The sequence below is a fragment of the Homo sapiens genome, chromosome 10 (genome assembly GCF_000001405.40).
Source record: "Homo sapiens chromosome 10, GRCh38.p14 Primary Assembly".
Lineage (NCBI taxonomy): Eukaryota > Metazoa > Chordata > Mammalia > Primates > Hominidae > Homo > Homo sapiens.
In genome coordinates this window covers 62,361,224-62,385,714 of record NC_000010.11, presented here as the reverse complement: position 1 = coordinate 62,385,714, position 24,491 = coordinate 62,361,224, and the positions used below count along the sequence as shown (strand labels likewise).

The window sequence follows — 24,491 nt, the reverse complement described above, 5'->3', positions numbered from 1 at the left end:
TAAGTATTTGTTGTAATTAATGTTTATAAAGGACAAGGAAGAAACTAAAAATGACCCAAAATCCCACCACTCAGAAGCAACTACTGTCAATATCCAGTATATTTTTTTCCTGTCATTTATCTCTGTGCACATTTACCATTCCAGGGCTTTCATGCTATACAGTCTAGCATATGCGAAGACAGCAACATTTGATGGCTTAATCTCAGGGGATTAGCATCACAAAAGCAAGAGAACAAATTTGAATGCAACACCTTTTATGATTGTGGCTGTATTTTTCAATCACATATTTTGCCACTGTTTCTACATGAAACTTTTAAAAATTAATATTAATGCTGATATTAATTTTTAATATTAATTTTAATACGCTCCTGGAATGTTATGCCATGTCACAGAAAAGAAGGATCTTTTTTCTAACTTCTCTCAACCAATTATCTTGTGCCCTGAAGCTGAGAAGTTAATACCTTCTGTATTTTTCAACCAACCTGGCACAAACTGCTAACCTAATTTCAGTTTGTAGATGTATTACATCAACTAGGGTGGAAAAAAACAGTTAAAACAAGCTTGATGGTATCCTATGATTTTGTTTTAAAAGACAGGTTAAACACAAGAGAAAGACTGGAGAAGTTCATCATACTGAGATTGTGTAGGGTATCTTTGTTAGATGAAAAAGGGATCAAAACCAAGTGACTAATTGTGGAATATCATGTGTGTACATCTCAGATCCACCGTTCATTCACATCCTGTTCAGTCTGGATGAATATCCAGAACCACCTCTTATTTCCCCAAAGAATCTTGGGGTTTTTCTGAATGGAAAAGAAAAGGGGTTAAACACATTGCATTTGTAACCTCTTTCATAATTACACTCCAAACAATAAAATATCCATTCAAAGTGCAAGACAGACCAATAGATTTCAACGTAAGAAAGTACAAAATGTTCACTGATATGGTTTCAGATCCCACATTGCAATGACTCTTTAAGAAACTACCAACTGTCACATTTGGCACAGCATCAAAGCAAAATATCCATGATTATCTGAGAAGGCTATTAAAATACCCCTCCATTTCCTACTATGTATCTGTGGGAGACTAGATTTTCTTCATCTGTTTCAACCAAAACAACAAATTTGCAACAGACTGAATGTGGAACTACCAAAGTCCAGCTGCCTTCTATGAAGCCACACATAAACTTTTAAAACAATACCGCTCTTTTCACTAAATTATTTTTGGGAAAACAGTTATTTTTCATAAAAATATGTTATTTACGTTAGCATATAATGGATACATGTAGTGAGAGAGTCAAACAATGAAAGAAGGAAATACCGAAATAAACACGTAATTACAAAGCTAGTTAAAAGTGACTAAGAAGAAGAATAATATGATGCTATCGGACAGAACAGTAGAAGACTTGTGTGGTTTTATTTCTGGTTCTCAACCCTGTGACTCAGAATACAGTGTGAAAGCTGGAAGGCCAGATGAGAAGATAAGGGCCAACCTGAGTGAAACTCAATCAGGGTGTGGGTGCAGACCAGTGTTGGGGAAATTTAACTGGTTCTAAGCCACTTCCGGCCCCATCTTCGACTTCTTCTTTATTTAAAAAAAAAAAAAAAGGCCAAATATTATTAAATCAGAGGTTTTAGGCTTCAGTAGAAAACATGCTTATTTAAAGCAATATTTGACACTAAAAAAAAAAATACCAGTACAATATAAGAAACTGACCTTGAAGCTCATTATTATGCAGAATGATTTCCAGATCTGGAAATCTGTCAGATGGATAGGTATCCAGAAACCAACACAGTAGAAGAGGAGCAATGAGGGAAAAAGCCCTTTCCAGAGAGCCAAACCTTCAGTTATATCCATTCACACATGCGTTCATTAATTTACAGGATGACCATATGGTCTGAAAAATAGATAATATTATTTCATTTTTTACAGATGGAATCCTCTCAGTTACTTCTTCTGAGATGGGTTAAAGACAGGTTAATTCAGAAAAATCAAAGACATGCTATCATGTGACCAATACACCCTAGAAGCATGTGCAGAGAGTAATGGAAATATGCGTTCACGCACTGTGGTGCTCACTGCAATTTTGCACAGGCATTGAACTATGCATTTTAATGAGTGACAACACGTTGATCCTATCATGTATTATAATCTACTATCAACAAACCATTTCTTATGTCTATTTTAACTTCCTTCATTTTTGCACTGAGCCACACTTACTTTTGGATATGCTGTTCCCTCTGCCAGGGTCATTCCTCCTCCTCTTCCCAAGCCCCCACAATTAATTATCAATTAACTATTCCTCTAACCTCAGACTCTCTTGCCAGGGAGTATTCTCAGACACATGCCCAGGTGTACATGACATGGCCTACTGTGTTTTCCACAGAAGTTTGTACCTTATCACCATGCACATCACAATGAACCAGTGTGCCATTTCCCCATTTGACCATAAAATCAGTGAGTTCAGGGACCTTGTGTGCTCCTTCACTGTCTGCAAGTACCCCCTGTACCTAACCTGAGCCCAGCACACAATACAGGATTAATGCATTTCTGCTGAATGCATGAAATGTGCAACTATATCTCTACTCGAAAATCATTAACCAACACAGAGATCCTTAAGTTTCTTTTTTCCTTTTTCCAGACAAGTACTGGGGCATAAAACCAATGAGTAACCTACGGGTACCTCCTACAGGAGTAGGGGGTGGGATCTAAAACTGATGCCTCTCTTCTATTCTTAAACACTTTAACATCAGCTTCTCCTCCCAAAGGCGAAGCTCTACCAACTTATTTAAATTTCACTTTACATGACTGATTTATGAACCTCTTCAGAGGAATATGAAACGGTAAAAATACCTCCAGCTAAAAATAGTCTAGCTATTGATCACAGAGCACCTCAGACAGACCATAACGTCAACCACAAGGCAAATCCCAAAGCAGGAGTCGACCACCTCCGAGCACAGGGAGCTTGGCTGCAAACCCATAGCATGGAGTCGGCTCCTGCGCTCTCTTTCCGGCACCACAGGCCTGAATCTGCAACAACTGCACGTCTTAAGGCATGGCCCATCTCTACTCTTGTTGGCCCTTAACGCTAATGAGAAAATCAAACTATTCTCATTGGTTGTAAGTTGACTAATACTATATTCTGAGTCCCAAGGGCCTAGAGTGGGGATGTGATAGGAGGCAGGGGAGTGGAGAAAAGAGAATATGCAGAGATAGAAATTGAAAACTTTCCTGGGTTTCCGAATTTTACCATGTGCCAACCCTGAGAGGATATGCTTGACACGTCATTTATTCTATATGAGTTTCTAAGTCTGCAAGGAACACATCCTGAAAAGAGAGGACCCCATTTATATGCACGAACCAACAATGTGGAGCAAACAGACCCTTCTCCACCCCGCTGACCTCTATATCCAATGTGATTTTTTCTTGGCCTGCTTTCTAGCTATGAATCAGTCTGGACACTACATTGCTTAGTCGCTGCTTTAGCTGATCAAAAAATGGGAATGAATTAAATAGCAAGAGGATTTGGTTGTGCAAAGCAAGTTACCAAATCAGATTTGCCTTTTAAAGGCCAGCATTCCAAGGTCAGCTCTGGAAAAAAACCTAAATGGGCATTACCTAGCTCAGGCCACCCCCTCTATGTCTCATTTGTCATACACCCTAATGACCTGTTTAATGTCAAATTTCCCTTCTGGTTTATAAAGTCCATGAAGGCAGGAACTGGATGCCTTTGGTTTACCATCCCATGGTCGGAACCTAGATCAGTATCTGCTGCTCAGCAAACACTCAATAAAGATTTGTCTTCTGCATGGCTTTAGGCTGGAACGAGGCAAATGATGAAGGACAAAGGGAAACAGATTCTACGTGTCACTGCCTGCAAGGGAGTAGGATGGAAATTAGAGATGGAATCACAAAGAGTCCTCTCATTGTGATCAAAGCCTAGCAGTGGCAAAAGCCCTACCCCGATTAAGCAAGGACATCTGAGAGTCAAGTGAAAAGCCCTGGGCTGGGTGTTCTGGAAGCTTAATATCATGACCACACTGATGATGCCACCCTTCCCCTGCCTCCCAACACCTCAGATGCCAGCTGACATTTTCTTTAATCACATCAGAAAAATAAATGATGTCACCATGGCAGCCCTCTCAAAATAGCAAAGAAGCAAGCCCATCCAAAATGGGCCACACTCAGTATTACATAAGTCTTGACGCTTTGGGGGAAAAAAAAATCACATTTTCAGGAGTCTGGCTGGGACACAGTGAACTAATGGAAAAAACACTCAGCAGAGAGACAGGGAAATTGGATTCCAGGTTCAGCGTTGCTACTAAATCTCTATCCTTGGGCAAGTCATTCCCCTGCTCTAGGCCTTATTTTCTGCATGTATAAAATGAGTGTGTTATCCAGCAGGAAACAGGGGCAACCTTCTGGTTCTCAAATCAGAAATCACCTGGTCTACTCAGGGGCCATCTCTAGCAGCCCTCCCTGCCGCCCCTTCAAGGTCACTCTCTTCTGGCCATCAATGCAAATTCTGCCTTTCCTCCTCATTTCCTCAGTGTGGCCTCTCCACACATAAAAATCTGTTCTCTAATGTATTACCAACTTGAAACTGTGGCTTATATTGAGGCACTTCTCAAAACTCCCCTTGCATGTTCCTGAGTATCCCTTATTCTTCCTATACAGAACACAAACACCTTAGGGAAAGACAGCAAGCATTTTATGTTCCCCCCCACACACCTCACACAGCACTGGGCACATTACAGATGTTCAATCAGGACTTTTCAAAACATATTGCAGAAAAGTGTATATGTAAATTTTGTGTTACTTTTATTATACTCAAATTTTCCAGACCCCACAGGACCAACTCAGCCAGCAAATTAGCTACTAAGTCCATCCTTTCTTGTTAAGGGATACCTTAAAGCAAGGTTTCCAGGATTGATTTACCTGATTACAGACAGCACTACCCACCAGCTCTGAATACTCTTCAATAAGTAAATACCTGTTTCACTAGAACTTTTAAAATCACACTGACTTTGTCAAGACAATGAGCAACTTCTTTCTTGGGTTTGCACTCCAAAACCTACAGATACCTTCTACGGGTTTACAATGAGACTGACCAGTACAAAAGTGCAAAATAGTTGACCCCTGAACAATGCAGGGATTAGGTGAACCAATCTCCTATGCAGTTGAAAATCCAAGTATAACTTTTGACTCTCCAAACACTTAACTCCTAATAGCCTACTGCTAACCAGAAGCCTTACTGATAACATAAACAAATGATTAACACAGATTTTGTATATTACATGTATTACATATCTGTATTCTTAAAGTAAGCTAAAGAAAATGTTATTAAGATAATCATAAGGAAAATATATTTACTTCTCATTAAATGGAAATGGATCATTGTAAAGGAGGAGGAGAAACAGAAGGGTTGGTCTTGCTGTCTCATTGATGGCACAGACAATAAAACCTCTTCGTTTAAGTGGAACTGCATAGTTCAAACCTGAGTCATTCAAGAGTCAAGTGTATTCTCAATTCAAACAACCTCCTCTGCTATGAGTATATGTACAACTTCTACAGTCTGGCTGATTCAGCCTATAGATGGCCTCAGGGCAGAAGCAGCCTTTGGGTCTTTTATTTTAACTTGAAAGAAAGGATTTTAAAAGTTGAAGGAAAAGATCCATAAGCAAAAGAAGCTTATGTGAATTTTAAATAATAGATGTTTGCTTTTTTTTAAACCAAATCTACTATCCGTGTTTCAAAGGGTCCCCAGAGTTTAAGTCAATTGTGAATGAGATGGTTAACAACCTACTTTCTCTCACAAATGGGCCTAGGGAGCTCATGTGGAAGTGTTTGGCAGGGGAGCCCAACTCCGGGTATGGTCCTTGGCAAAATACGGTCTTCCCTTATCTGAAAGGCCAACTCTTTGGTGGAAGCAACAGCTCTCTGAGGTGGTGGTTAGGATGGAAGATGCACCCACCACCCAGCCAGGCAGATGCAGTCAAATCAACCCAGTATTAACAGTGTGACAGGTGGGCAGCTCCCTCTGCATCCCCATTCAGAGGGCAGGGGTGCGGGGGTGGGGAGGCCAGACGCTGCAGACACTGAGGGTGCTGTCCACAGTCCCATTCTTAGACCAAGAGCTCCAGTGTCCTCCCTGGAAACAAGACTCTTTCAGTCCCACTTTATGTACAGAAAGAGTGATTATTTGAGGCCTGAATACAGAAACTGATGGGACTGGCCCAAATGAACGTTTAAAAAAAAAAAAGACTTTGTTTATGTTTAAAAGTTTAAGGCAATTTCACTGCGCTTTCATTTAAAACACTTTGTTTTCTTTTTTTAAAATATCATTGCTTTTTTCTATTAGTCCAGAAATGACATACAAAAATCACCTTGTGGCTGGGTACCGTGGCTTACAACTATAATCCCAGCACTTTGGGAGGCCAAGACCAGTAGATCATCTGAGGTCAGAAGTTCGAGACCAGCCTGGCCAACATGGCGAAACCCCGTCTCTACTAAAAATACAAAAAAATAGCTGGGTGCAGTGGTGGGCGCCTGTAACCCCAGCTACTTGGGAGGCTGAGGCAGGAGAATTGCTTGAACCCAGGAGGCAGAGGTTGCAGTGAGCTGACGTCATGCCATTGCACTCCAGCCTGGGTGACAAAGTGAGACTCTGTCTCAAAAAAAAAAAAAAAATCAACTCGTAATTTATCCTCAGGCATACTCACAAAAATGTGAACAAACATGTACAAGGATAATAACCAAGGCACTATTTCTAATACTAGGAAAATGGAATAAAACTATATATTCATCAATAACAAACTGGTTAAATGCATCATGATGCATCCATACCATGGAATACTACACAACAGTCAAAAAGAGTAGTATAGTTCTGTACTTAGTAAACAAAAGATGCCTGAAATCTATTATATTAAAAACAAAAACAATTCAGCGTGCAATTGGCAGAACAGTATGTGTCACAATTTCATTTAGAAAAATGGAATCTGTGTGTGTACGATTGCAGGCACACAGGAAAGGTCTGGAAGGACATTTACGGAACTTAACAGTGGCTGTCTCTGAAGGACAGGATAGGATGTGCTTGGATTGGAGAGGCTACTTTTACACATATAATTCTCTCCTATTCAAGTTTTTCCTGTTTTAACATGTCTTAGTTTTTCAGTTGGTGCTCAGGTGGCAGCCTTGGATTAACCATAACATGTAACTGACCCATGCATAGCCCACTTTTATTTAGACAGATATTTTTAACAATTAAGCATTCTTGAACCCATCACTCCAGGCAACTACTACCCCAGATCTCATGTTCATTATTACTCGTGTAATTAATTAGTAAAATACAACAAATAAATAAGTTCAAAAAATTAATTTTGTTGCCTTTTAAACTCACTGCTCTTGAATGAAGCAAAAATGTTCAAATTTAATTCTAGGCCTTTCTTTACGCATAGAGTAACCACATCTGCCCTTTTTTCAACAGCACAGTGCGGGTCACTCTGGTGGCCATTAACGGGTCTAGACACTAACTTCCCACCAGGAAACACCAGAAACCAAAAGGGAAACATTTTTCATTAGAGATTATTTCCCTAGGAGCAAAGTAAGTCAGAGGCTGATTCAAATCCATCCTAACTACGTAATTTAAAAAATGTCTCGCCTGAACAAAAAATGTCTAGGCTTCCCCTCAAGGTAGAACGTAAGCATTTAAGTGATAGCAAGTAATGATCTCTTTAATCTATGGAGTGTCTCAGGAAGTTCTAATTATTACATTTTAAGAGACAACACAAAATAGAAGAGTGCCAGAGGGCAAAGAAAAGATGAAATTAAATCAATCTCTATAATAGAACTCAAATTATTTGGAAACCTACCTTTTAGGATGTTTTACTCCATCAATTTTAATGTCCTTTGATTCCATGAATTTCTAAACCTCTATTTAAAATGAAATCTGACATTCTGCATTTGGGAAATACACTGACTTGTAATGTACACTTTTCTAGTTTGGGTTAAATCTATACTTACTGATAAAGAAATGCTTCTCTAAGTATGATGATTTCTCAAGCAATAGCTTCTATGATCTATAACTTGTGAAAACCAATCTCAACTCTTTGCAAGTGGGCAAAACTTAAATATAACAAAAAAAAATACATCATTTGCCAAAAAGTCAAGTCTCAAACTTAAATCATAGAAGTATAGCAATATCAGAAAGTCTTTCCTCTGGGTGCCCTAATGTCTGCTTCTCCCAAATATAAATTAAATTAAATGGATTCTCAGCTACTAACATTTAATTAACCTGGGCAGATAATACAAAATGGCAAATAAACCAAACTTATTTATACTGGAGGAATGTTTTTGAACTTAAGACAGCATCTTGCATTGACTTTATAATACGGAGACTGTCAAGAATGAACAGCTCACTTAGCTCACCCTTTCTGCCTTCCCATTCAACTCACCCTTGCACGCCATTTGGTGCTAGGAATGGATCCCACCATGGCTAGGCTGTGCTAGTCTTCTCTCTAAAAGCATAGTCTGTGGTTTACAAATTCCCAGTTGAGAAGGAATTAGATATTTGACTTTAATGCTGCTAGGTTGCAGACCGTGCACACAGAGGGTAAATGATATCAAAGCCTTGTTCCTCCTGGTTCAACTATATCAATAAGAAATGCAGTCAAGGCACCTGCAAATAGCAAAAATCAACCTTGCTTAGCATTTGCTTGTAAGGCGATTGGGGTGCTGCTTAAAGCAATGGGGTTAGCATCCCCTGTCAGCAACACTTACTCTTCTTTCCTAAGAAGCTCCTCCTCAGATTCCGTCAGGCGTTGCCTCAGTACAGCTATCATTTCCACGGCCACGTCCACCTGTCTGTTTAAGGCCCGCTCTCGTCTCTGAACTTCCTGCTTTTTCTGAGTCAGCTGCACAAAAGCTGCCCGAACTTCCAACAGTTCCGCAGTTTTCTGGGCCAACTCTTTGGTGAGTTTATCAATTCTCTTCTCAATGGTCCTATCCACAGCCTCAACCATTCGATTGAATTTTTCTCTGACATGTGCCTCGAAAGAAGCTTTGGTGTCTGAGGTGGGCAGTCCAGGACCCGACCGTGTCCCATCCAGCGAGTCTGCATGGAGGTCCATGGCAGTGTAGGTCTGCACATAGGACACAGGCCTCTCTGCCACCACCTCAAATGGCTTCCTGTCCTTGGAATGTTCATGTGAAATGCTGTACAAGTTAACATAGCTCGGTTTCTGCTTTACCACGTTGCCACTGCTCTGCAATTTTCCCGGTTTCAGGAGTTCTGAGGAAGTGACTAGGTCTGTGTCTTTGAGGGATGGAAAGAGACTGCATTTTGTCAAGAGGGTTCTTTCTTCGTAGCTGTGACTGAACTCCAGATGGGCCCTCAAGGATGACAAGCTTCTAAATCTGGTATGGTCTCCACACCTCGGGCAGCGTAATGGCAGGCACACAGCAACATTCTCAAAGGACTCCTGCCAGGGATATCTGCTTTCCTCAAAAGCCTTCTGTTGCATTACTCTAAAAGTCCTGGGAGGGGGGAAATAGGTAGTTTACAAGTCGGCTGAAAAACACACTACTAAAATGATTGCTGCTCATCTCCATGACAGCAGAGGCTTTTTGGTTTCAAGTGACTTTTGCACATAATATTTTATGTTGCACTTAAAACCTACAGCCCATGGGCCAAATCCATCCACATCAATTTCTGCATTATTTACTGCTGCCGTATCAATTTCTGTATTATTTATTGTAAACCACAATGGCAGTGGTGAGTAACTGAGACAGAGACTCTATGCTCCTAAAAGCTAAAATATTTACTACCTTTACAGAAAAAGTTTGCCAACTCCTACCTAGAATCAAAAAGGTGGGTAACATTCCCTCTCCACAGAAGAGAACACTGAAGCAAGGAAGTAAAGCCATTAATCCAAGGTCAGATGGAAAGTGGTAGATCCAGAAGTGGAATTCAAGTTTCCTCCCCTCCTGAATTTGGCACACTAAATGCAAAACCGTGCCCCATTTTAAGGATACAATCCGAGATGCGTGAACACAAGAACATATGAAAACTCACATGAATTGTCAAAATGGGTCCTAAGACAGCAAGCTCAGGACCTATCCTCAAGTACAGGAAAGATTACTCAAGCTATGCACAGTGGCATTAAGCCTGCAATCAGCTGAAAATTTTTCACCCTGAAATTTTTGCCTTTTTTTCCTTCAGGTATTGCTGTGATGACATAAACCAAAGTGCTAATCGTAACAATAACAGACCCCATACGTGAGTTTCACTGAAACCTGGGGACCCAATGTGTCAAATACCATTTGGCATAAGTGGGGCCATGGCCAAGATTTTTATTATAATAGAGTGTTCTGGACGGATTTGTCTTGTCTCAGATGCTATTTTATATGACAACCTCTAGGGATGGTCAGTGTGTGAACCAGGTAGGTATCAGCATACTCTCTTAATAACAGGAAGTTCTGGTTTCCTTGTAGGAATGCATTATCTTCACCCTAGCAACAGATGACTGTTGGCAACCCAATTCTGCAAGCAGTGCATATCTTCTATTCCTCCATGAAAGGTTTCTACTTAAATGTAACAAGCATTGGACCCGAAATGAGGGAGCCCAGCTGGGGTCTTTGGGTGAAAAGTGTCCTCAACCTCTTCAAAAGCAGAGGTGCAAATGGTCCCCAGGCAGCGAGGCAGGCAAGGCTTCTAGGTGAAGCCCCCGGCCCCCAGAGAGGGGAACCTCTTCCTGTGATGGGTACACCGGGATGTTTAACCACTGGTTTTCTGGGAACGAGATGCAAACCCTGGCTCAGCATAGGGCCAAAGACGCTGACAAGAGGTAAGGAAAGGGGAAGTCAGGATTCTAAGGGGGCAATGGGAAAAGGGTGGCATTTTGGATGGGGAAATGGGTAATCACACACTCCAGAGCACGCAGGCTTTTATGGGCCCAGAGGAAACCCAGTCCACTGGGCTGATGAAGAGCCCTAAGTGACTCTGCCAGAGAAGGGCAGGCTGGCAATGACCCTGCCCCGGGGTCCCAGCTCTCCCCGCCCCCTCTCCGCTGCGTGCCAGCCCACGGGTGCCAGAGTGGATTCGTGTGCACATGAGTTCCTGCTGGTGGGGGCCGGGAAGCCGGCTCTCCCAACTCCCCGCCATGCTGCGGGCTCGGGGACCCCCTCCCCAGCCCCGGCCACCCCGGCAGGTCCCCTCCGCCGAGCCGCGGGCGCAGATGGCCGGCGGCCGCCTCTTACCCGACTTGTTGCTGCTGCTGCTGCAGCCGCCGCCTCCGGTGCTGATGCTGCGGGAGCGAAGCGGTTTTCAGCAGAGCCGTAAATCAGACTGAGCCGGGCCGGCTCCCACTCCCCGCCGCACCTCCGCGCCGGGACCGGCGGCGTCCAGGGCGGAGCGAGGCGCGGCTAGCCAGCGGGGGCGGCGCTCGCGGGCACCGTGGGGCACCGCGCCGTGGGTGCGGGGGTTCCGGAACGCCGCGGCCCAGGGCTGCCACCTCCGCGGGGAACACCCTTGCTCTGCCCAGCTGGCGGGAGCATCATCTGCCCCCCCGCCACCCAGCCGGGAGCCCGATCCGACTCAGGATTACACTGACATCACTGCGAGAGATGCTGGGATCATTCCCCGGGGGAGGGAAGGAAAGACGCGTGTCAGCCTCGCAGTCGCGGCGCTTTCTGCAGGCCCTGGCAAGCTTTTTTGCACTAGTTTGGGGGGAGCGGGAGAGTGTGGATGAGGATGCAGCATAGCTGGGCATCTTCTTTGAAAATCTACCCGTTGGAAGGTCCGGGTATTTAATTAGGACCTCTTCATCCCAAGCAGCAGGGCGAGAATGTCCCAAAATAACTAACCCAGAGAGTACACTCCAGCCTTCCTAGCCAAGTGTCCTGAGGCTACGTTAACAGGCAGAACTAAATCTAGTAAAGTGCAGGGATTAATGAACAAACAGTTAAAGCAACAAGATCCCTCACCTACACCCCCATTTCTGAGGCGGACGCCCCTTTCCCTGGAGAAAAAATTTGTCCTCCTAAAGAGGGGATGTCCTGAAGAGAAGACGGCAAATCATTCCTTCTGAAGGACTCTGATGTCTCAGCTTGCTGGGCTTTTGCTTTTTTTTTTTTTTTTTTTTTTTTTTAACCTGTTTTGGTTTACCCCTACTGTAACTCCTGAAATGTGAAACCTAGATAAAAGTTACTGCTGGGTTTTCTTGTTCAAAGAAGAGAAGAGATTCTGTTCATCTGTAGACAGTTAATGCATCCTCTTGACTTCTCAGGGTGTCTTTTCTCAAGGCTTGCTGTTACTCATTTCAACACCCGATTTTATTTTAACGGTAAAGAGCTCAACAGTTATCTTAGTTGAAATTTTGTTTTGTTTTTGACAAATGAAAACAAATGAATTGCTTTGTTTTTTCACAAATGAATTATCACATCAAATGCAATGAAGATCCCAAGCTCTGGCATCAGACTTGATTCAAATCCTGGTTCTAGGGCCTGGGTCAAGTAACTAGACTTTTCTGTTCCTTCAATTCCTCATCTATGAAATGAAGATAATCAAGACCTACCTCTTAATATAGCGGTGGATCGAATGTGCTATGATGATGGAGGTAAAAACCCTGCCTGACAGGGACACACACTGATAAAGTCAGCTGTTATCGTTGTTGCTACTTCATTTATAATTATTATTAATTCCATAAAAAAGGGGCCTACACACATTTAAAAAGCAGGAAGGAGAAGAGGAATTAATATGTACTAACTTCTACGTAAATGGAGATAGGCTATTGTGCTGGGGTGTGTTTGCTTTGAAAATATTATATCTCATTGAAGTTACTTTTTGACTCGCTCTCAAGACTATTCCAAGAATCAATTTATTTAGTACAAAATCTTAAAGTCTGAAAGATACACTCATTGGAGTGCCAAGTTATCTCCGTCATCTTGTGAGGTGCCTGCAGGTTAACCTCTTACACCCACTGCCTTCATGGCAAAACATAACAAAAGCATGCTCTGGTCCTCCCTTCCCCCCCGCCCCTTTTTTTTTTTTTTTTTTTTTTTTGAGACGGAGTCTCACTCTGTCTCCCAGGCTGTAGTGGCGCGATATCAGCTCACTGCAACCTCTGCCTCTTGGGTTCAAGCGATTCTCCTGCCTCAGCCTCCCTAGTAGCTGGGATTACAGGTCCCTGCCACCACCCGGCCAATTTTTGTATTTTCAGTAGAGACGGGGTTTTGCCGTGTTGGCCAGGCTGGTCTTGAACTCCTGACCTCAGGTGATCTACCGGCCTCGGCCTCCCAAAGTGCTGGGATCACAGGCGTGAGCTACCGCGCCCAGCCAGCTCCTCCCATTTCTTAGACAGCTGCTACTTCTTTTTTGGTCCTAAGTTCCTCCCCTGTTAAATGAGAGGATGGAGATTTTCAAAGTCCTTTTCTCACCCTAAAAATATAAAATATTATCAAATAATTATGGAGAGGTTATTCTGTGCAGGGCCTAAAGCTGAGTATTGTGGGAAATTCAACTTGGTCAACAGGCATTTAGGACCTTAAGTGGTTCTCAAAGTGTCACTTGTGTATACCACCAATTACCTCATTTAATCTTTGAACACCTGTGAGGTAGGGAGGACCTTGTACACTCAGTTCTAGCCACCTTGGCATCCCTTTACTTAAGAGCCCTGCTTTTTCCCGTCTCTAGGGCCTCTTTATCTGGTAATGCCTACTCATCCCTCAGAGCTCATCCCAAGTATGCCCTCTCTGAGGAGGTCTTCCCTGACACTCCTGGACAAGGTTAGTGCGTACTAGGAAAATTTATTATGACAGGATTTGTCACAATAATTCTATGTGCTGGGTTATGGATGTAGTTGTCTGTTTAATATTTATGTCCACTGTTAAGTTGTAAGCTATGTGAGTCAGGGTCCTTGTCTGTCTTACTCTCCAGTATATTCCCAGGACTTAGCACAGTGCTGATCAAAGTGCTCAAAAAATATTTGTTAAAAGAATGAATGCTGAAGAAATAAATCCCCTTTCTACATAGGAGGAAACAGGCCCAAAGAAGTTAAGTAACTTTCTCAAGATCACAAACCTAGAACACATTACAGCCAGGATGGCAAACCCTGGGCTTTTAACCACTGTACTCATTGGCTTTCCAGTTTTTGATGAAGAAAATAAAGTTCTAGGAAGTAAAGTGACTTGCCTAAAGTCATATAGGTAATAAAGAATAAAATCAGGGTTAGAGTTCATGTCTTCAAACACTGATGTTTTTCTATGCCACATTATGCTGTTTTACTCTGCCCTCCAGGCACTTACAACTAGTGGAATGAGAACAAGGCATATATATATGATAGATATATGAGATATATATCATATATATGATAGATATATGAGATATATATCATATATATGATAGATATGAGATATATATCATATATATGATATATATATGAGATATATGATATATATATCATATACATGATATATATGATATATATATCATATACGTGATATATATGATATATATATGATATATATATCATATATATATCATGTATATGATATATGATATATATATGATATATATGATATATATGATATATATGTGATATATCATATATATGATATATATATGATATATATGATATATATGATATATATGATATATATGTGATATATCATATAGATGATATATAATATATGTGATATATATGATATATATGATATATATGTGATATATATGATATATATGATATATATCACATATGATATATATCATATGTGATATATATGATATATATCACATGATATATATCACATATGTGATATATATGATATATATCACATGATATATATCACATATGTGATATATATGATATATATATCATGTGATGTATATGATGTATATGGTATATGTGATGTATATGATGTATATGGTATATGTGATGTATATGATGTATATGGTATATATGATATATATGATGTATATGGTATATATGATATATATGGTGTATATGATATATATGATATATATGGTATATATATGATATATATGATATATATGGTATATATATGCATATATATGGTATATATATGATATATATGGTATATATGGTATATATGGTATATGAGCATATATATGGTATATATGAGATATATATGGTATATATGAGATATATATGATGTATATGATATATATGATATATATGATGTATATATGATATATATGATGTATATATGATATATATGATGTATATGATGTATATATGATACGTATCATATATATGATATATATATGATACGTATCATATATATGATATATATATGATACGTATGATATATATGATATATATATGATACGTATGATATATATGATATATATGATACGTATGATATATATGATATATATGATATATATCATATATATCATATATATCATATATGTATGATATATATGATATATATACTATATGGGATATATATGGGATATATATGATATATATGGGACATATATATGAGATATATATATGGGACATATATATGAGATATATATATATATGGGACATATATATGAGATATATATATATGGGACATATATATGAGATATATATATATGGGACATATATATGAGATATATATATATGGGACATATATATGAGATATATATATATGGGACATATATATGAGATATATATATATGGGACATATATATGAGATATATATATATGGGACATATATATGAGATATATATATATGGGACATATATATGAGATATATATATATGGGACATATATATGAGATATATATATATGGGACATATATATGAGATATATATATATATGGGACATATATATGAGATATATATATATGGGACATATATATGAGATATATATATATGGGACATATATATGAGATATATATATATGGGACATATATATATATAGAGAAGTTAAATATATGTTAAAATGAATTAAATGGGAAGTGTCTATAGGGCCTGACATCATGCCTGGCACATAGTAGATGTTCAATAAATGTTTGCTGAATTGTTAATGATCATAGCTCTCACCTTTAGAGTAATTACAATGGATCTTACTATATTAAATGTTTAGGCACATATCCAGTGTTTCTCAAAGTGGGACCTGTGGAGCCTGTGGAGCTGGTCAAAATGCAGATGTCTGGAACCTTGACCTAATAAATTGAAATCTGTAGGTGTGGATCTTGAAGATCTGCATTTTCACCTATCTCCCCAGGTGACTCTCATGACCACTGAAGTTTGAGAAACAGTCCTTTGTTACAGTAACCAACGAGGCAGACATTGGCAGCCGTTTATGCACAAGAGAGGATGCTGCTGGAGATGCGATGAATACAGCTGAAGGTCATGCCACTAAAAAGCATGAGAGGTAGTAAGAATTTGAAGCTAATTCTGACTCCAAAAGCCTGGGCTTTTTCCATCATGACTGTGAAAGGAAGGGTGGTGGAGAGGAAAAGAGGTGGGCAGAATGGAAGAATAGGTAGGAAAAGAGACAGAGAAAGAGGCAGAAAGGAAGTGAAGAAGAAGGGGAGGAAGGTCAAATGATTAATATAGAATATAGATTTCCTTGAGACAGCAAAGAGCCCTTCAGGCTGGGATAGTTAGAGAATCTCTGCTGAAAGACCTAGGAATTGAATGGAGATTTTTTAGCTCCCTTTCCTCTCCATTTATCAAATAACATTCACCCCTTGTGGCCAGAACGGCTGCCTTTCAAATACAGGTTTGAAAGGTTTGAACCAGAGAGGCTGTTTAAATTTTTTTGATCCATTTATTAAATATGTTGATTACATTTGCTGAAAAGCAGCCTTATGGGGACTGAACACAGACCCTCTAAGATTTGAATAATTGCCCCAGATAAAGGGCCTGCAAGGGGAACCCAGAGCAGATTCCTGCTACTTTTTCCATGTCTGCAGCAAACATCTGTGTGCAGAAGGAACCCCCTGGGTTGCAGAGCTAATAAGTGGCCTAAAGATCAGACACAGTCCTTTGGAATCAGGCAAATGATTTCTCACACAGAGTGTCAGGTAATTATGAAAATCCAGAGCTACACCACTTCCCAAGGAGGATATGATAAACTTGCTCCACACTGACTTAAGTATTGACTTTAAGTAACAGCTCAGTTCTCAGCTGTTAGGTTTTCCAGCTCCCTCATGCAACTAATTGCATATATATATTCATTCTGACTTTCAGCAGGTATTATGGTATGCCTACTATGTGCCAGTACAAATCACTTGCATCATTTAAGCTTCAGAGTCAGAGCTGTAATCTGGCTTTAAAGTCTTCACCAGAATACTCAACTAGAAAACTCTATTTCTATTAAATTTCGTTGTCATGGCAAGCACAAAGCAACACCATGGAGAGTGCCTTAGATCCCACAGCAGTCTGTTAGCCAGTGTGAATCTGCAGGGAGTAGGCCTTCTATAGGGGCTAAAAATAGAAAACTTACAGCAAGGTTAAACCCCCCACCTAGGAAGAGCAGTGTTACTTGTTCCCTTGGTGGGGTCAAACATGAACCAAATGAGAGGATGGGCTAATTTTCTACTTTGCAGGTTTCTCCAGCCCAGTGCCTGAACTAAGAATGTGCAGACCCAAGATCTAATACCCTAATTAGTTGTGTGAGTTTTTATTCAAGCTGGCCAACATCTCTGGGCTTCATGTCTTCGTTTGTAAAAAGCAGGAGCTGGAATGAACTAAGGACTTTCCAGTACCACAATCCTAGTTGTTAGTCCAGTTAATGCATTTGTCATTTCTGGCTGGACACCGTGGCTCACGCCTGTAATCCCAGCACTTTGGGAGTCCGAGACAGGTGGATCACTTGGGGCCAGGAATTCGAGACCAGCCTGGCCAACATGGTGAATCTCCATCTCTACTAAACATACAAAAATTAGCTGGGGCGTGGTGGTACACAGCTGTAGTCCCAGCTACTCAGGAGGCTGAGGCATGAGAATCACTTGAGCCTGGGAGGTGGAGGTTGCGGTGAGCCAAGATCGTGCCACTGCACTCCAGCCTGGGTGACAGAGTGAGACTGTTTCAAAAAAAAATTCTCATTTGTCATTTCCTTGCTAGATGGATTGCATGGCTGGAGAAGAGGGCATGGAAGGCAGTCATGGTGATGGTGGAGAAGTTTGTCAATAGGTGATTGGTCAAAATTGTTAGGTGTTGTGTTAGTCCATTTGTGTTGCTATAAAGGAATACCTGAGGCTGGGTAATTTACAAAGAAAAGAGTTTTATTTAGCTCACGGTTCTGCAGGCTGTACAAGGAGCACATCTGCTTCTGTGGAGGGACTTGGGCTACTTCCACTCATGGCAGAAGTGAACAGGAACCAACGTGTGCAGAGATCACATGATGGGCGGGTTGGAGGGGCAGAGAAGGTGCCAGACTCATAGAGTAAGAACTCACTCATTTTCTGAAGGAGGGCACCAAGTCGGTATGAGAGATCTGCCCCATGACCCAGACACCTCCCAGTAGGCCCCACCGCCGACACTAGGGATCAGATTTTAACATTTGCTGGGGCCAAACTATATCCAAACCATAACAAATGTCATCTCCTCTTGTAATAACAACTGACAGGTATTAAGTCCTTATTGTGTGCAAAGGATGATTCTAAATGGTTTTCACATGATATGCCATTTAACTTTCCTAATAAAGCTAGGAGAAAGGTGTTACTTGTATCCCTCTTTCATAAATGAGTAAACTGAGTCATAGAGAAGTAAAGCAATTAGGTAATTTTTAAAAAGATAGTGAGTTATATAGCTAGGATTTGAACGCTGCCTACCTAAATTAAGAACCTATGTGCTTGGCCATTACTCTGTTGTATCTTTAGTGCCTAGATCCTTGCCTGGCATCTTGGGGACCCTCAAAAACTAATTGTTGAACATGCAATAAATGACTGATGTTCAGAAGGTTTTCGGTGCTTATCATTTACGAATTTTAAAGCCCTTTCCTTTCTTGATAGTTTATAATGTGAAGAGAAATCTTTGGCACACCTCCCCTAAGCAAAGTGGTTGTGGGAGAGCTAGAAAGCATGTTGGTATGGAATAAAAGATACAGAAAAAAAGATACAGTTAAAATATGAAGATTGCTAAATAATTAGTTTGAATTATATAATTACTTGAAGAATAAATTATGGAACTGATGCTCTGTCAAAATAGGGTCCATTTTCTGGGACCAAAATACATAGGCATTTTTATTCTACTATTTTAGGTGAGAATTACATTTTTTTTAGTAGCAGAGAGTGAAAAGAGAGCCCTTGTAACTATAGGAAAGAGAAACTGAACTTGAAAATAAAATATACATAGACTTTTCTCCTGTATATAAAGAAAACACATGGTGTACATTAAAACCTAGTGAAACTCCTAACTCAACAGTATAATATGAATCATTTTTAACATTATACCCAAATGCAGATACCTGAATGTTAATTGGAGTAATTTTTACCAATGAGTTGTTAGATTCTTTTAAAATTTGTATTGGAAACTAACATACATACACAAAGTTTTCATAAGTCCCAGTGAACTTTTACAACTGGACACACTCATGTAACCAGCATCCAGATCAAAAAACAGAGCGAGTTTCTGTTTCCCAGAACACTCCTGTGTATTGCTATCAAGTATTTACCCTTCCCCTCAAAAGTACCATCATCCTGACTTCTAATAGCGTAAATTAGGGTAGATTAGGCTTGCCTTTGTGTGTTTTGAATAAATGGAATCCTATTGTATGTACTCTTTGTGTCTGACTTTTGTTCAACATTATGTTTATGAGATTCATCCATATTGTTGTATGTAGTTGTAGTTTGTTCATTCTCATTGCTGTATAGTATTTCATTGTGTGAATGTGTCCCATTTATTTATACATGATGCTAATGATGACAATTTGGGTAGTTTCCAGTTTAGGATTATTGTGAAAAATTTATAGGAAAATTCCATTGAGTCTTTGAATATATAAACAGATAACTGCCAGACCTTATATAAAAACAGAACCCTGACCTACATTGGTAGCCCTCATTCCAGGATGCTAAATCACAGCCTGTGTAGTAATTGGCCCCAAAGTGGCCACAAGTTGACCTTAACTATCAGTTTCCCTAATTTTTTGCCCTATTTATAACTTAGGACCAACCAGAGAAAGCCAAGTATGCTCATCTAAACGATCAAATAGTATGCCTCACTTCTACTTAGCCCACCTCCAGCTTCTCCATTTGAGCAACCTCTAGTCAGGGCATAGTCGAATCCTCTTTTTTCCATTATGAAGCTTTCCTGGTCCTCTGCCTGCCTTTGAGTCTCAGCTAAACACAAATGAGGGTGGCTGACTCCCTTGCTAGAGCAAGCTCTGGGTAAATAGCCTTTGCTTCTTCTTATTTGCATGATCTTCATTTATTTCCACACAAATATATGTCTTTTGGTGAGCATATGTACATATCTCTGTGGTGTATATACCCAGGAGTGAAATTGCTAGTTCATAAAATATGCATATGTTTAATTTTGGCAGATAATGCCTAATAGTATTCAAAAATGTTATATCAATTTTCAAACCTACCAGCAATGTATAAGAATTCCAAATGCTGCATAATCTCTCCAACTCTTGAAACTTTCTGACTTTAATTTAGCATTTTTATAGGTGAGCAGTAGTATCTCACTGTGGTTTAATTTACGTGCTCTTGATGGCTAATGAAGTGGAAGTCACTTTTCACATGTGTTTTTGATGTTTGCATATCCTCTTGTAGTGTCTGTTCAGATCCTTTATTTTTTCTCTTGTCACCTATATTATTTCTATTGATTAACATTTTCTATGTATTCTATATATGAGTCCTTTGTCAGATATACGTATGGGAATCCTCCCTTTAGGGTTAGTGCCTTTTATGTCTTTTAGGTAAAGGTTTAAGAAACCTTTACCTACTCCAAGGTCATGAAGTTGTCTTCCTATGTTCTCCTCTAAAAGCTTTATTGTTTTATTTTTCATATTTAGATCTGCAATCCATATGGAATTTTGAGCAATGGTATAGAAAGGGGTCTGGATATATTTTTCTCATATATCTCATTAATCCATCAATGATTATGGAAAATAGGATTCTTTCACCCACTGTATTGTGGCCTTCATCTTGACTTAGGTGGCCATGCATGTGCGCATTCTCTAATATAGGGCATTGGTTAGTTTATCAATCCTTGTGCCAATACTGTGAGGTCTTCAATGCTAGCTTTATGATGGGTTTTGTTCTCAGGTAGAATAAATCATCCAGCTTTGCTCTTCCTCTTCAGTTACCTTGAATACTCTTAGCCCTTTGAATTTCCATATAAATTTTAGAATCAGTCTGTCAACTTCTGCCAAAAAAGAAAAGAAAAGAAAATCCTGGTAGGGTTTGGACTGGGATAGTGTTGAGTTTATAGATTGATTTGGGAAGAATTGATGGCTTTACAGTATTCAGTTTCTAAATATTAAAAGTTTATATCTAAGTTTATTTAGTTTTTCCTCAAGGATTTTTATAGTTTTCAATGTTGGGGTATTGCAAATCTTTTGCTAGAATTGTTCCTATGTAGTTTATATTTTGATGATATTATAAATAGCATGTTTTAAAATATAATTTTCTATTTGTTTGTGGATGGTATGTAGAAATATAAGTGATTTTTAAATAATAAAATTGTATTAAGCAACATTGTAGATTCAATTATTAGACCAAATAGTTTATTCTTTTGAATTTTCTTAGCATATACTAATTATATCTACAAATAATGACAGCTTTATTACTTCCTTTCAAATCCTAATTTTTTTAAAAAAATATATTGCAATGGCTGGGACCTCCAGTAAAATGTTGAATGTAGGCCAGGCGTGGTGGCTCACGCCTGTAATCCCAGCACTTTGGGAGGCCGAGGCGGACAGATCACGAGGTCAGCAGATCGAGACCATCCTGGCTAACACAGTGAAACCCCGTCTCTACTAAAAATACAAAAAATTAGCCAGGCACGGTGGCGGGTGCCTGTAGTACTAGCTACTGGGGAGGCTGAGGCAGGAGAATGGCATGAACCCGGGAGGCGGAGCTTGCAGTGAGCAGACATGGCGCCACTGCACTGCAGCGTGGGCGATAGAGAGAGACTCTGTCTCAAAAAAAAAAAATGTTGAATGTAAGTAGTAATAGCTGGCATCCTTGACTCATTCACAGTCTTAGAAGTAACATTTTCAGTATTTCACCATGTATATGATGTTTGCTATTGGGTTTTTATAATGTTCTTTATTTGTTGTACCTCTTATTCCTGGTGTGCCAAGAGTTCTTCAAAATATAAGCACAGGGAGGGGCAAATTTTGTCAAATAATTTCTCTGCATCTATCAAGATATTCATATAACTTTTCTCCTTTTTATTTTAAAGTGATTGTATTAATTATTTTATTTTATTTTTATTTCGTTTTGAGACAGAGTCTCACTCTGTCGCCCAGGCTGGAGTGCAGTGGCGCCTTCTTGGCTCACTTCAAGCTCCGCCTTCCAGGTTCCGGCCATTCTCCTGCCTCAGCCTCCCCAGTAGCTGGGACTACAGGTGCCCGCCACGACGCCCGGCTAATTTGTTGTATTTTTAGTAGAGACAGGGTTTCACCGTGTTAGCCAGGATGGTCTCAATCTCCTGACCTCGTGATCCGCCTGCCTCGGCCTCCCAAAGTTCTGGGATTACAGGCATGAGCCACAGTGCCCGGCCTGTGATTGTGTTAATTTTTAAATGTCAAACCAATATTGTGTTCCAAAGGGAAGTTCAATGTATATAATATACACACACACACACACACACACACATATAAAATATCTAGATTCAGTAGTTTAATAGTTTGATAAAGATTTTTACACTATGTTTATGTGAGATTTGCCTGTAATTCTCTTTCTTAGAATATACTTGTCAGGTTTTGGAATTGTGGTTGTACTAGTCTCATAAAAGATACATGAGAGAAACAGTTGTCTCTGTCTGTTTTATGGAAGAGTTTTCACAAGATTTGTGTTATTACTTCTTTAAATTTTCACAAGAATTTACCAGTAAAGTCATGTGACTCTAGAGTTTTCCTTAGGGGAGATTGTTAAATAGTGGATTAAATATTTTTAATAGATATTGAGCTATTCAGATTTTCTACTGCTCACAGTTTTGGTAAGTTGTATTTTTCTGGGAATTTGTTTGTGTCACCCAAATTGTCAAATTAATTGGTACTAAATTAAAATATTATTATCCTTCTTTTCTCTGTTGGATCTGCATTAATATCCCTTTTTTATTCCTGATAATGGTAGTTTGTGCCATCTCTCCTTTTTCTTAAGCAGTCTTGTTCTGGGTTTATACATTTTATTAATCTTTACAAATATTCAACTGTCGCTATTGCTGATATTATTAATTATATGTTTGTTTTGCCTTTCACTGATTTCTGCTTTAACTTTATTTTTTTCTCTACTGCCCTTAAATTTAATTTCTCTTTTTTTAGCTTCTTGAGATTGAAAGTTAAATGATTAATTTCTTTCTTCTTTCCTAATACATGCATTTAAAGCAATATATTTCTGCTTATGCACAGCTTTAGCTGAGTCCCATAATTTTTTATATGTTGTATCTTTATTATGATTTAGTCAAAATTTTTCTAATTTCCATTTTGATTTATTTATCGATGGTTTATTTGAAAGTTTATTGTTTAATTATCAAACAGTTGGCATCATTCTAGTTACTTTTTGTTATTTTTTCTGCCTTGATTCTATTTTTGAAAGATAGCACACTGTGAATGATTCTGATTTTTTCAAATTTGCTAAGCCTTTTATTATGATTTTGGCAAAAGATCCATTTGCACTTGAGAAGAAGGTTCATTGTTTGATGCAGTATTTTGTAAAGCCAAATTGCTCAATTGTGTTGTTTTATGTTTCTAGATTTTTTTCTAGACTATTTTATGAGCTTCCTTTAATTCAGCCAATTTTTGCTTTAACATTTATCTTAGTTTGGGCTGCCATAACAAAATACGATAAAGTGGGTAGCTTATTAACAACAAATTTGTTTCTCATAGTTCTGGAGTATGGGAAGTTTAAGATCAAGGCATTCACAGATTTGGTGTCTGGTAAGGGCCCACTTCCTCATAAATAACACCTTTTCACTCTGTTCTCATGTGATGGAAGTGGCAAAGGGGCTCTCTGGGCCTCTTTTATAAGGGCACTAATCTCATTCATGAGAGCAATGCTTTTATGAACTAATCACCTCCGTAAGACCCTACCCCTGACTATCACATTTGTGATTAGGTTTCCACAAATAAATTTTAGGGGGGACATAAACATTTCAACCATAGTAATATTTGAACCTCTGTTATGGAGTTTATACAGATTTGGGATGTGTTTGCCTCCTGCTAAAATGGCCCTTTTATGTTTATGAAATTTCCATCTTCATAGTAATTATTTTTGCATTAAATTGACTGTCTGATTTTGGTGATGTTCATCAACATAGGATGAGGTTACATCCTGAGAAACCCATTCTAACTTGAAAA

At 39.2% G+C, this 24,491-nt stretch overlaps 1 protein-coding gene and 1 long non-coding RNA gene across 3 annotated transcripts in view, besides 1 other annotated feature; one reads left to right on the top strand and one right to left on the bottom strand.

Moving 5' to 3' along the window:
• The window catches only part of ZNF365 (zinc finger protein 365), a 105,917-nt gene extending 94,571 nt beyond the window's left edge, over positions 1-11,346 (bottom strand). For both annotated transcript variants that reach the window (NM_199450.3, NM_014951.3), the window contains exons 1-2: positions 11,257-11,346; positions 8,779-9,534 (exon numbers count right to left, since the gene is read on the bottom strand). In NM_199450.3, the coding sequence (NP_955522.1) occupies positions 8,779-9,521 (743 nt within the window). In that variant the 5' untranslated portion in view covers positions 9,522-9,534; positions 11,257-11,346. The remainder of the gene's footprint in view (positions 1-8,778; positions 9,535-11,256) is intronic.
• Positions 900-2,099: an enhancer, noted in NCBI's record as "CDK7 strongly-dependent group 2 enhancer chr10:64143375-64144574 (GRCh37/hg19 assembly coordinates)". NCBI's record gives its function as "activates an origin of replication core promoter dependent on BRD2, BRD4, P300/CBP, MED14 and CDK7 cofactors, with strong dependence on CDK7, by STARR-seq in HCT116 cells {active_cell/tissue: HCT116}" and the evidence as "EXISTENCE:reporter gene assay evidence [ECO:0000049][PMID:35650434]".
• The window catches only part of LOC283045 (uncharacterized), a 35,540-nt gene continuing 21,636 nt past the window's right edge, over positions 10,588-24,491 (top strand). The window contains exon 1 of the long non-coding RNA NR_104162.1: positions 10,588-10,844. This is a non-coding gene — a long non-coding RNA (uncharacterized LOC283045). The remainder of the gene's footprint in view (positions 10,845-24,491) is intronic.